Below are 14924 nucleotides of genomic sequence, written 5' to 3' on the forward strand. Positions count from 1 at the left end.
GAGGAACTTGTTGGGAACTGGAGAAAAGGTGACTCTTATTATGTTTTCGCAAAGAGACTGGCAGCATTTTGTCCCTGCCGTAGAGATTTGTGGAACCTTGAACTTGAAAGAGGTGATTTAGGGTAAATGACAAAAGACATTTCTAAGCAGCAAAGCATTCAAGAAGTGACTTGGGTGCTGTTAAAGAGATTCAGTTTTATAAGAGAAACAGAGCATAAAAGTTTGGAAAATTTTCAGCCTGACTTGCAATAGAAAAGAAAAACCCATTTTCTGGGGAGAAATGCAAGCCACCTGAAGAAATTTGCATAAGCAGCAAGGAGCCTAGTGTTAATCCCAAAGACCGTGGGGAAAATGTCTCCAGGCCATGTCAGAGATATTCACAGCAGCCCCTCCCATCACAGGCCCAGAGGCCCAGGAAGAAAAAGTGGTTTCCTTGTCTGGGCCCAGGTTCCCTGTGCTGTGTGCAACCTAGGGACTTGGTGCCCTGTGCACCAGCTGCTCCAGCCATGGCTGAAAGGGGCCAACATACAGCTTGGGCTGTGGCTTCAGTGGCTGGAAGCCCCAAGCCTTGGCAGCTTCCATGTGATATTGAGCCTGCAACTTCACAGAAGTCAAGAATTGAGGTTTGGGAACCACTGCCTAGATTTCAGAAGATGTATGGAAATGTCTGGATGCCCAGGCAAAAGTTTGCTGCAGGAACAGGGCCCTGATGAAGAACCTCTGCTAGGGCAGTGTGGAAGGGAAACGGGGGGGGGGCGGGGGGGTGGAGCCCCTACACAGAGTCCCTACTGGGGCACTGTCTAGTGGAGCTGTAAGAAGAGGGCCATCGTCCAGCAAGCCCCAGAATGCTAAATCCACCAACAGCTTGCACTGTGAGCCTGGAAAAGCCACAGACACTCAATACCAGCTCGTGAAAGCAGCTGGAAGGGAGGCTGTACCTTGCAAAGTCACAGGGGTGGAGCAGCCGAAGAACATGGGAATCCACCTCTTGAATCAGCGTGATCTGGATGTGAGACCTGGAGTCAAAGGAGATAATTTGGGAGCTTTAAAATTTGACTGCCCCACTGGACTTCACACTTGCATGGGCCCTGTAACTCCTTTGTTTTGGCCAATTTCTCCCATTTGGAATGGCTGTATTTACCCAATACCTGTACCCCCATTGTATCTAGGAGGTAACTAACTTGCTTTTGATTTTACACGCCCATAGATGGAAGGAATTTGCCTTATCTCAGATGAGACACTGGACTGTGAACTTATGGGTTAATGCTGAAATGAGTTAAGACTTTGGGGGACTGTTGGAAAGGCATGATTGGTTTTGAAATGTGATGATTTGAGATTTGGAGAGGGCAGGGGTGGAATCATATGGTTTGGCTCTGTGTCCCCACCCAAATCTCAACTTGAATTGTATCTCCTAGAATTGCCATGTGTTGTATTGTGGAAGGGACCCAGGGGAAGGTAACTGAATCATGGGGGCCTGTCTTTCCCATGTTGATCTCATGATAGTGAATAAGTCTCACAGTATCTGATGGGTTTATCAGGGGTTTCTGCTTTTGCTTCTTGCTCATTTTCTCTTGCCATCATCCTGCAAGAAGTGCCTTTCCTCTCCCACCATATGGAACTGTAAGTCCAGTTAAATTTCTTTTTCTTCCCAGTCTCGGATATGTCTTTATCAGCAGTATGAAAACACATTAATACAGATGCATTATATGAATTGCCTGATATAGATCATAGATCAATCTATAAACATTGATTAGTGAAATGATATGCCAGATCACAGTAAGAGGTAGAAAACACACACACACACAGAGTATATTACATACTTCTAACAATCCTTCAATAAGGAAACTCATTTAACTTAATTTAGCATTTCCCACTATCATTTTTAGGACACCTACTATATTTTAATTTCCCCAAAAAAAAAATATTGTATAGAATCCATTAAGCCATTTTGGAAAATCATAGGCTAAATAATAAATATTTTATTTTGTTTTGCACTGTAGAGGCAAGATTGTGTGTGTGTGTGTGTGTGTGTGTGTGTGTGTAGAGAGGATCCTGAATATCACTTCATTATAATACCCATATTTTATTTAACAATGCAAAACACCACCTAGCCAACAATATATATTTTTAAAACTATAAAACCAAAAACCCACAACTATAAAACTCCACATGTAACTAAGACTTTCAGACAAATAAATGTATTATAAAGTTTTCCTGTAATTATTTGTATTTAAAATAGTTAATAGGGAGCAGCTGAGTCTTCTCTTCCATTCAAAATGTTTATTTTAACTCTAAGCAATTAAGTTGGAATGGTCAACAAATAAAGAGTAAAAGTAATTTAGAATAAGAGTGATATTTTTTCCATGATATTAGGGAAAATTAAATGTCCTTGAAACTACCATTAAACTGAATTTAATAACCTGATATACTAAACAGGAAAGGAGAAAAAAAGTGGTCTATATTAACATTACTAGACAGCTACAGAGTAATTCCACTGAAATTCACAATTGGTTGGGGGGAAATTGGAGAACTTTATCATAATATTTGAATTGGTTTTGTTAATTCAAAAAAGCAAAATACAAAGGTGAATTTTATTTGTAAGAATGCTGTGTAATGGAGTCAATCTGGAAAATATTAATAAATATATCACAAAATCACATACAGTAGAAAAAGGAGATGCTTTAACATTGGCCATTAGACTTTTCCCATCTATGTTTCACATTGCTTTCGGGGTTTGACCTTATGAGACTCTATCTGCTTTCTGCTGTGAGCTATGGGCAAACTGCTGGCAAGGCACTCTCCATGTTCATTTTGAAAAATCAACAATGACAATCTTTCCCCAGTCTGTCCCGTGCTCATTATCTATGTCTCCAAAACTAAACCGCTTAATACAATGTTCTCTCATGTTTAGACTTTTAGAAAGTATACATTAGCTATAGCCTAAGAATCATCCTTAGAAAAGATGTTTTTGCTTGCTGTATAGATGTTGCAGGCAAAAAATGTAATAGCCAATTGGGTAGTTCTGATTTCTGCATATTTTGAAAATGGGTATTGTAATACCATCTCTTTAGCCTGCAGTTTTTTAAAAAGAATAAAGGCTCTGAAATCTGACTTTGTTCACCTCTGAAGACTTTCATTTAAAAGCTGAGCACTTTAGAGAATTATTAAATTGTTCTGAGATGCAGTTGCCTCATTGCAAAAATCAAGCTCTTAATAACTTTTTCATAGTAGTACTCCTCAGGGAGTATACACATACATACATACGTACACATATATACAATACATACCATGGAATTGAGACTTAGAATGTGGTCATATGTTTCCATTCTCTTGCCTTTAAAAATCATTATAAGCTCATCTTTTTTGTAGGAGTCATTTGCTTTTCAATTCCCATAAACCAACTAGTCTACAGCCACAATTATTCTAAAAACATTCCACAGCCATTTAACCCTGCACACACACATAGAAACACATCTGAACTCACCAGGTGTGGTGGTTCATGACTGTAATCCCAGCACTTTGGAAGGCCGAGGCAGGTGGATCACAAGGTCAAGAGATCGCCACCATCCTGGCTAACATGGTGAAACCCCGTTTCTACTAAAAATACAAAAATTAGCCGGGCATGGTGGCGTGTGCCTGTAGTCCCAGCTACTTGAGAGGCTGAGGCAGGAGAATCAGTTGAACCTGGGAGACAGAGGTTGCAGTGAGCCGAGATCGTGCCACTGCACTCCAGTCTGGAGACAGAGCGAGACTCCATCTTAAAAAGCACACACACACACACACACCTGAACTCATACACATGCGTATTCATATAGTAATACAGAAAATACAAAGTTGTTTGTCTCATCTTCGGCAGTGTTAGATGTGGTTAGCAGTATGGACATTATAGACAGAAAAAATGACCATGTATTGTCACACGCTCTTAGCTAGAGCCTCAGGAAATGACTAAGAAATGACTGATCAATCAGAGAGGATGATGTTCAACCTAGAAAATCGCTAACACAGATCAGTGCAACCAGGAGGTAAGCAGTTTCTGGAAACTTGACACATTGAACTACTTAATTCAATGAAAACAAAGTAGAATTTGTTTAATAGAAACTTGGCTCATTCTACTGCCGTATGCTTCTAGACGAATGAATGATGTTCACTGAAATCTAGAAGATGACTATATTTTGGGCCACTTTTCTTTTCCCTAAGTAAAGTGACCTGTATAGAATAAGAAAATAAAAATTATAATTAAAATCACAATAATGCTATGACAGAGGTCCTAATTTCGGGGAAAGTTTAATAATTTTAGGAATATAAATTTGATGATTTCTTTTCCAGAAACATACCATTGAAAGACACATTAAATCTCTGAATATATATTTTCAGGATATGTAAGTATTTCATAATAGTAAAGCTTTTGTTATAGACAGCGCCCTGAGTAAAATGATACAGTCTGTTAATAATAATTTTTCAAAGAGGATTTTGTCATATACTGAGAATGCAAAGAACAAGTTAGGATTCATAATTCATTTTTGCATTTTTTATTAAATATATGCCGACACATTCAAGAAGTCTCATTTACTTAGATATTAAGAAGTATTTTAGAGTACATAAGTGGAAGAAAGACAATAGCACAATAATCTCATTCACTATGATGAAATATCAAGTGTACGTGGCATGGAAATTTTGTCTCGTAGGGGTAGAGAGGAATTAAAATTATCTTCATTTCTAGCCACAGCTGCAAAACAGAAGAGAATTTTATAAAGCAGAGCAAGCTTACAAATGCTTACATTGTTTATGCTTGCAAAATGTTGGAAAGAAAATAAATACAATTATATAATTTCAAAATTCATTATTCATCAAAGATTCTCATTTTTCACAAATCCAGAAAAAAATATCAGAATTAATGGAAGGGAAAATAATGCTTGAATACTATAAATACTGTTTTGTTTCTCAAATTCTGATACCTTTAGTAAAATACAATACCGAACTTTCAAAAAAATTATATATTTGACTACTTATGGCAAAGCTATTTCAAAGTTATTTTACATTTCAGACAAAATTTCATTTGTTTCTGCCTAAAACTGTACTGCTAAGGCCAATATTATAATGACTTGTCTGGGAAAACAAGATATTTGTAATAGACATTCAAGTATTTATTTTATGGTTATGCCATCAATATTTAAAATTGACAACAAGTAAATGTTGTATATCATTTACTTGTATATACAAGTAAATCTTGTATATCACCACTTTTAAGAGTGGTGATATTTTCATAATTATATAAATTAATTATGTTCTGTGCAACACTGAGTCAACACTATTCGTCTTAAATAAATCAGTTAATACCTCATGTAAAACTTTAAAGCACAGAATTATTTTATTTTTTATTTTTAAACAAATCTTATTTTAGACACAACATTGTTTTAATCTCATCGAGATTCTTAGTGTAGGTGCCATTAGCAAGTTTCCATCAGTTCAAATGTAGAACTTTTTATTGTGTTATTTTTTGTTGTTTGTGGTAGCACTCAAGAACTAGTAAGAGCATGAAGCTACAAAATATTGAGTATCATTGAAAATTTAATGTATGTAAACATTTATATATAAATTGTAATATACATGTAAGTTATGTGTATAAACATTTATCAAACTTATTTTAATGGTGTTTATTCAGAGTAAAAAGGTTGGGTAATGATAAAGTTGATTTTCACCTTTAAAAGAGTGAATGGAGATGTAAAGTGTGTGTATGTTTAGTGTCTACTTTTTTTAAAAAAGAGTAGAATGGAGATGACAACGTGTGTGTGTGTGCGCGTGTGTGTATGTTTTAGAAATCTTTGATGAAAGCAACATGATGTTATTATGATTAACTTAAGCACAAAATGAATGTTTTGAAAATCTGTGATATAGTCCCGAATAAAAAGAAAAAAGGGAAAACTGCTTTCTTAGAAACTGGAATTAGGGCTCCTCCAATGGACACTGTCACTAATGGGGACATACTTCAGACAACACTTGTTGAGGGTCTTCTATCATTTTTGTTTTTCTGGTGGTACTAAGCATCTGTTGCTTGCACATCTCCAAAAGAATTTTGGAGAAAAGTTTCAAGGATATTGTTTGATAATTAAAATGATTCCCTGTAAGTTTAATTGTGAAGGGTATAATTTTCAGCATATTATAAATACAGACTTTACAAAATATAACTTCTATATAATTGCTTTAAATGTAGTCAATAGGATCTAAATACCATGAAGATTTGATACCTACAACCTTCAGTCATGAACAGTCTATATTCCAAAAGAGGAGATATTTCCAAACTGTATCACCTACGAAATTATAACCTAATTAAAAATATATTTTGTTCTTGAAAGTCTTGTATTAAGGATGCCAACAGAATAGAAAGCTGGTTCAGTTCTTTCACCAGCACACAACTCTACTCCATTTGTTTATGTGTCCGCTAAACTTAGACTGTGCCATCTTCCCAATGAGAGTACCCTTTTCTTGAATCGAGCTTCATTCTCCGGAGAGCTGCTAAGTAGCAGGAAGTGGTGAAGACAGCAGGGCTGGCATTCAAAATGGTAAGGAAAGAGATAAGGAAGCTTCTTTATCTCTGATACAGAAGCAACAAGTAAAATGAGCACTCCAAGTTAAGTGTCAGCACTTTGCTGTGAGAGTGAATGCGTTCAAGTGCCTATGAAAGTCTTTTAAACAGCTGAGCTGGTTTATGTAATTCCATCAGTCAAAATTATTTGTGTTAAATTTTAACAACTAGTCACAGTTGAGAGACATCAAAGTTGGCTAATTGTTGAAAAGTGATGTTAAAAATCGGTCATCATGTCTATCAATGCTGATGACTTTATATATCCCTACCTTTGTCCTTGCTTTCATCTCCCTGTTCCTTTCTCTTAAGTAGTCAGTTTCCAATTTTCCTCTGATTGTTTACTCATACCTTGTTTCTCAGATGGTGTCTCTTAAAAAAAAATTTTAGGATCAAGATTTTCTTTGCATTCCCAACTAAACTTTAATCACCATGAATGCAAGTATAATGTCTATATTCACTCACTATTATATTCCCAGCACCCAGCAGAGGACATTCAATAACTATATAATAAGAGAATAAATAAAAAATATAAACATGTGGTGGCTGACACCTGTAATCCCAGCACTTTGGGAGACCAAGGTGAGTAGATCACTTGAGGTCAGGAGTTCGAGACAAGCCTGGCCAATATGGTGAAACCCTGTCTCTACCCAAAAATACAAAAAATTAGCATGGCATGGTGGCGTGTGCCTGTAGTCTCAGCTACTTGGGAGCCTGAGGTGGGAGAATTGCTTAAACCCTGGAGGTGGAGGTTGCAGTGAGCCGAGATCACACCACTGTACTCCAGCCTGGCAACAGAGTGAGACCCTGTCTCAAAAAAGAAAAAAAAAATTATGTATATATACACATGTAACCAAGAAGACCAGCATATGGTAATAGCTGGTGTAAAAAAAATGGCTAAACCCAATAGTGAAATAATAGCTTTGCCACTAATTCAAAGACTAAATTCAGAGATGTCATCCATCAAAGGAACACTATTTTCTGAAAATAGTGATAGGTATATTGAAAAGAGCTCTGCAGTTAAAGACATCTAGGAGATACTGAATACAATTTAATAAACAGAAAAAAGTAATGAACAAATGATGGATTAAATACAGAATATTGAATTTGCCCTATGTTTGATTCCTAGAAACCTGCTAATGAAAATGATTAAAATAATTCCAGATGAATTGTTAATGCCTGTTACATTTTCATATTATTTATCACCCCACATAATATATGCCTTCCAAATATGCTTATGGCAATTAACCCAAAGAATGAATAAAGTGGTAATCACATTTATCACAACAAGTTATGGGGGGAGAATTGTTTTTATACCATGCAGAACACTCCCTATCCACTGGTGATTGTCAAATATTGTGGTCTAAGAAGAGCACCATAGACAAAAATTCAAAAACACACAGAAGAAAAGGGAAAAAATACTTTGCTACTCTCTTGAATTATTCTTAGTGGGTCTTACTAACAAAACTACAAAAAGAAATGCAAACTTTACATATTATCTCAAAATGAATCTGTAAGGCAAAACTACAGCAATAACGGGAATGGTGCTAGGAAAGCTGGTGGAGTGTTTGTGAATGTGTGTGTGTGTTTGTGTGTTGTGCTTGTGTACCCAACTAAAACACAGCATCCTAAATATTTTCAAGTTTAAAATTCTAATTATTCATTATAAAAGCACAATACAATAAAAAAGAAGCCCTTCTTTAAACTCTGGCCAAGGTCCCTCTAGCAGAAGGATTCTAACAAGAATGAAGATAAAAAGATGTCTGTGAATTCTCAAAAATTCACTTGAAATTTATGTTGCATCCCCTCACCTTGCTCAGTAACCATGTTTTGTTAACACTGTTGAGCCTTGTTGACTCCTGGTGACTGGAATATGTTGTTAACTAAACTGCTGGAAGTTCTAGTGCTTGCAGCTAATGCATTCTCAGAACTGCACAGTATGAACACAGCAGGTGTAAAGTAAAAGCAATAATAAAAAATTGAACAGACTTTAAGTGCTATGATTATTACTGTAGGCCAGTTTTTATCTTCTATTTTAAAAGTATACTTCTTGGATTTCCTGTGTCTGAAAGTATTGATAGCCTCATATTTTCTTTCTTAGTGATGGGAATTAAATATCATATTTTTAAAAAGCAAGTAATATTTGAAAGGCTTGCCTATAGATGGTGAACTCCTAAATCTATGAATGAAATTATCTGAAGATTCTGAGAAAAATCCCTCAAATAATCTAACAACTGATTAAAAATTCAATACAGGAGTAGCTGTGACTTTTAACATCAGCTTTCCCCTAGGGAGCTTTTACCCATTGATCAATTTTGCATCTTTCTAAAGTCAAAGGAGGAAAAGAACTTGTTTTAGAGATAGAAACTCTGAGTAGCAGAAGCACTTTTCATTGGTAGTTGGAAAGTAGAATGATGAAAATCAAATTCTAATTTCAGCAATCCATTACCTATGCAAGATTGTGTTTTGAAATGAGGGTAAATGTATCTTTATTTCTACCTGTAGAGATATAGATATACTACCAGAAAACAAGATACACAGGTAGGCTTATCTGAATCTACCGTCAGATTATTTCATCTTACTTATTAAGAGCAAAAATACTATATTAATGGATTATTTTTGTCATCTTTTTCTCTTTAGTAACTTACAAGGTATGAAACATTCAAGAACTAGTAAGATATGCAAATCCTGTATGTACCTGAAGTGTTTTACAAGAGCATGTCCACACTGATGTTACACATTCATATTACTTTTAATAATTATTCATATTTTTCATAGTTTTACTTCCTGCATCTGATCCATCAGTGCACTCTGGCTGCTGTAACTCTAAAACATATTTAAAATTAAATCACTTCTCACCCTTCTATTGTTACTACTGTGGTCTGAGCTACCAGGCAACAGCCACCTAGCATGATCTGTCATTTCAATTACTGTCTCCTAATTGATCATTGTTCTTGCATAATTTTGGTGTGTTTTAACAGAGCATCCATAATGGTACCATTAGATCACATCAGCTCCATCCTCAAAATATTCCAGTGTTCCCTATCTGCTTTAGAGTAAAGGATAAGTCTTTACAATGATTTACAAGGCATTAAGCAGCCTCTCTCTTATGCCCCATTACATTTCTGATCTCATTTACTAAAATTATTTTTTTCAATCTCTGTGCTCCAGGCACACTCACCTCTTAGCTGTTTAAGCATGCCAGTCACACTCTTACCTCAAGACTTTCGCACTTGTTATTCATTCTGCCTAGAGTGTTCTTCCTCCTGATAACCATTTGGCTTTCTTTGGGTTGTCTCTCTCATATCATTTTCTAAGTTTAACCTCCCCTTCTTACTCTATTTGAAAACCCACCACTCCATTACTTTCTAATTCTCTTTATTTTTCTTGTTAGCACCTCTTAATATGTATTATTTATTTACCCAAATAGAACACAACTCCATGAGGGAAATTAGTTTCTTATGTTTTGTTCACTGTTTTATACCAGTGTTTAGTACAGTATATGAAACATAGAAAGTAGATGCTCAGTAAATATTCATTTAACATTTTTCCTAGATATGGGAAGCATTTTTTTTAAAATCATGGGATTTTAGAGATATGGAAATCTTAGATTTCCTGCTTCCAGCAATCTTATTTTACAGAGTGAATACTGAAGACCAAAGATGTCGTGTCCTTTCCAGAGTCAAGTAGTTAATTAAAGTCAGAATTTGGAGTAGAAGTTGGGATTTTTAAAATTATTATTGAAATGATTATATCCTTTACATCTCATTATTACCACTATGTGAATTATAAATTTGAGAGAGAAAATAAATTTAAGATATATAAGCATATAAAAGTAGTAGTCCTGAGAAATTATAAAATCTGAGTTATTGATACATAAAATTATTTATAATTACAATAGAAAAATAACTATAGCTCATAGAATATCACAAGTCAATTATAAATTAGAAACATCACAATGTGAGTGAAAAATATACAGCACAAGCACATATTATACTAAGAAACACTATAATTGAAAAACAAGGATCTCATTATACTCAACGCTGGTCAGGCCCTTATTAGAATAACATCTTCAATACTGAGCTCAGGAGCAAAATGGGGATGTGGTCACATTGAAGTGTGCTCAGTTGGGAGCTAGAAAGATAATTAAAGTGCTGGGAAATTGGGCCTTTGAGGATAGGTTAGAGTAACTCGGATTACTGAAACTGAATCAAAGGGGGTTGAGGGTAGATTGGATAATAGTTGCCAAGTGTAAAAATAGTCTTATTTTAAAGAAAGGAAGCCAGCTATCAGGTTCTCTATAGGGGAATAAGAAGGGGGTCAATGCTATTTCTCCGCAGGATAGTGAAATTAGGTCAAGTGTAACGAAACTTTTCCTTACATGGGAGAATTATTAAATGGGAAGACATTACTGAGAAAAGTATTTTCATATGGTAGTCTAAAATTTGCCATGGGTTCTCAATGTTTGAGATTGATTAAATCTCCCCCTTGATGAGGGCATGGATAAGGTAACAAAGCAAATTTTCTCCAGGTCATTACATGTCTGGTTCTCATTGATTGTTCCACTTCTTCTTGAAATAATGTTTGATTACAGTTTAATTGTAACCTCATTCTGTATAAGTATCTTCGTCCCTTTTTGCACTAATCAAATTTAATATTGCTGAATAATGTTGCAGGAAAATTTTTATGAGATTCTTACAATCACTAATACATCAAGGCCATTTATTAATAGCTAGACTCTTTCATGAAATATCTTCCTAAATTTCTTAACCCCCTCTTCTGACCCACATCCCTTTTGCTAAATTGCATTCTACATTCTTGCAGAAGAATTAATTCTTCCTAGCATAGATCTAGTCATGATAATTTTTCTTAAAAAAAAAGTTTGGTGTATATTAACTATTCGCATCTCTCTGTGGCCAGAGGAATAAAGGCCCTATGTATCTCTTGCACTTTAATCCTGGTGTAATGCATCATTTTATGTTGGACACCATTTTCCTGTGATAAACTGTCTTATACATTATACTGGCCTATTTTCTTTAATGAAATTTTATAGGCTGCATTTTAAAAAGACATAACTTAACCCACCTTATCATTGCTCATTCTTATTCCTTCTTTTATCAGTCACCTGCTCAACACTTAAAAATGCTGGCTTAGTCAATTCTTGCTGCTACAGCAAAATACCTAAGACTGGATAATTTATAAAGAACAGAACTTTATTTCTCACAGTTCTGGAGACTGGGAAGTTCAAGATCAAGACACTGGCAATTTATCTGGTGAGGACCTCTTTTCTGAGTTCTCATATAGCAGAAAACAAAAGGGCAAGCTAGCCTAAAATTGTGTGAAGTCTCTTTTCAACGGGCTTAATCCCATTAACAAGGGAGCAGCCCTTATAGGCCTAATCACTTCTTACAGGCCACACCTCTCAATACTATCACTTTGGCAATATCTAAATTTTGGAGGGGGCTACGTTTAAATCATAGCAAATGCCATACAGATGAGTATGCCCTCACAAAGACATCTCTGATTCTCTGGTTTGAGTGATTCCCACAGTTCTGTTGGAAGAAGTATGATTAACAGTATACTGTAACTTCTGGCTGCCAGTTGGCCTTAAGGGGGCAATTGCATATGTATTCTCTCATTTAGAATGAGAAATAATGCATCGTTAACAAATTTAAGATTTTTTTTTTCACAGGAACGATAGACCATTTTTTAAAAAGATTTTTCCATTTCCCCCTGTCCTAAATTTGTTTCATTTGTTTGACAGATTCCTAGCAAGGATTAATGGTAAATAGCATAATTTTGGTAGCAAAAATTCCCTTTTCAGTATTGATGTATTTAAATTTTTCATTATTTATTCATTATTTATGGTATATAGGTATATATACCATAAAATACACAAATATTCTAAAAAATGAGAAACAGTGGTTCAAAAATTATTAATTGTATTACTTAGAGATAAATCACTATAAAAATGTGAAATTTATATATATAAATAGAAAAATAGAGTGCATAATAATATTAACGCAACTTAAAATAAATGAGTTTTTACAACTTTGTTTTGACCAAAATGAGATGCTTTAGAAATGCTCTTTTGTAATCCTTTATCGCCAATGTTTATTGTATAGTGAACATCTTTACACAGCAAGTCCAAATTTATTCCAACAGCTGAATAGTATTCCACTGTTTAGGTGGAGGGCTGCCATGTATTATCATGCAGATTTTCCATTGATCAAGGGTCTGGGACTGAGTTTGTAGATAGAGACTAAAATCTAGCCCAAATTGCAGTCACCCAGCTCCATAACAATTTGTGCCTGACCAGAGGAACTGTCCGTTTCTAATTGACATGAATTTTCCATATGGGTTGTGGTGGTCCTGTAGTTTTAATTTACAAGTTTTATAAGCTCATAGTTTAAAATATCCAATAGCTCAACAAGGCTTATTTTCAAATATAGCAGTATCACTGCTCGAAACCCATCTCTAGTCCCCTTCCTCTTTTTATATTGAGACCTGTCTAGAGTTACATTAAAATTTTTTTCTAGCTATATTAAGGTATTTTTAACAAATAAAATATGTATACATTCAAGATGTACAATGTGATTATACGTATATATGTACACACACACACATTGTGAAATGGTAACCATAATCCAACTAACACATCCTTTACTACAGTTACCATTGTGTGGTGTGTGTATGTCTGTGTGTGTGTGTGTGTGTGTGTGTGTGTGTGATGAAAACACGTAAGATCTACTCTTTTACCAAATTTCAAGTAAACAGTATGGTAATGTACTGTACTGTAATATACAGTATAGTCACCAAGCTGTACATCACCGGAACTTATTTGTCTTATTACTGAAAGTCCTCCATAATTTTGGTACCTATTACCAATGTATTCAACTATTTTAGCTATTGCTTCTAAAATTTTCACAAAATTTATTAATAAGATATTTTTACTCCATATCTTAATTTTTCAGTTTCAGATATCATTCACTGAACTCCTGCTATGAGAAAAATGGGAATTTCCTTTCTTACAACCAACCACATCACTTCCAGCATGCCAAATGTATACAAACACAGTGCTCACAATAAAATTGGTAAAATATTTTTACTGAATTGGTATTTATTGTCCATGTGCTTATTATTGCATACATTGTATTCATTATCCAAATGATTGTATATATATATATGTATATGGGTATTATAATACTATTATTTTCTTTCAAATATTTTTATTTTTAATTTTTGTGGGTACACAGTATGTGTATATATTTATGTGACACGAGATATTTTGATACAGGCATACAATGGGTAATAATCACATCAGTGTAAATAGAATATCCATCACTTCAAACATTTATACTTTCTCTGTGTTACAAACAATCCAATTATACTCAGTTATTTTAAAATGTACAATATATTATTGTTGACTATACTCACTCTGCTGTGCTATTAAATAGTAGATCTTATTCATTCTATCTAATTATACTTTTGTACTCATTAAACATTCCTCATTCCCTCACCTCTCACTACCATTCACAGCCTCTGGTTACCATGATTGTACTCTCTATCTCCATGAGTACAATTGTTTTAAGGTTTAATTCCCACAATAAATGAGAGCATGTGAAGTTTGTCTTTCTGTGCAAGCTTATTTCACTTCACATAATGACCTCCAGTTCTATCCATGTTGTTGCAAATGACATTATCTCACTCTTTTTTATAGCTAAATGGTATTTTATTGTGTATATGTCCTGAAGGGTTTTGCCAATGTTTTCTTTAAGTAGTTTTATACTTTGAGATGTTAGATTTAAGTCTTTAATTCATTTTGATTAGATTTTCAAACAAGGCAAAAGATAGCTGCCTAGTTTTACTCTTCTGGATATGGATACTCAGTTTTCACAGCACCACCCATTGAAGAGACTATCTTTTGTCCTATGCATGTTCTTGTATCTTTGTCTAAATAAGTTCCTGTATATGTATGGATTTATATCTGAGTTCCCTGTCCTGCTTCTCTGATCTATGTGTTTGTTTTTATACCATGCTGTCTTGGTTACAATATCTCTGTAGTATAAAATCAGGTAATATGATTCCTAGTTTTGTTCTTTTGGCTCAGGATGGCTTTGACTATTGAGTCTTTTGTGCTTCCATATCTACTTTAGGGCTATTTTTTCTACTTCTGTGAAGAATGTTACTGGATTTTGATATGGATTGCATTGAATCTATAGATCTCTTTACATAGTATGGATATTTTAACAATATTGATTCTTCTAATCCATGAATATGGAATATCTTTACTCTTTTTGTGCCCTTTTAAATTTCTTGCATTAATGTTTTATAGTTTTTATTA

This window comes from Homo sapiens, chromosome 9, assembly GCF_000001405.40.
Source record: "Homo sapiens chromosome 9, GRCh38.p14 Primary Assembly".
Taxonomy (NCBI): domain Eukaryota; kingdom Metazoa; phylum Chordata; class Mammalia; order Primates; family Hominidae; genus Homo; species Homo sapiens.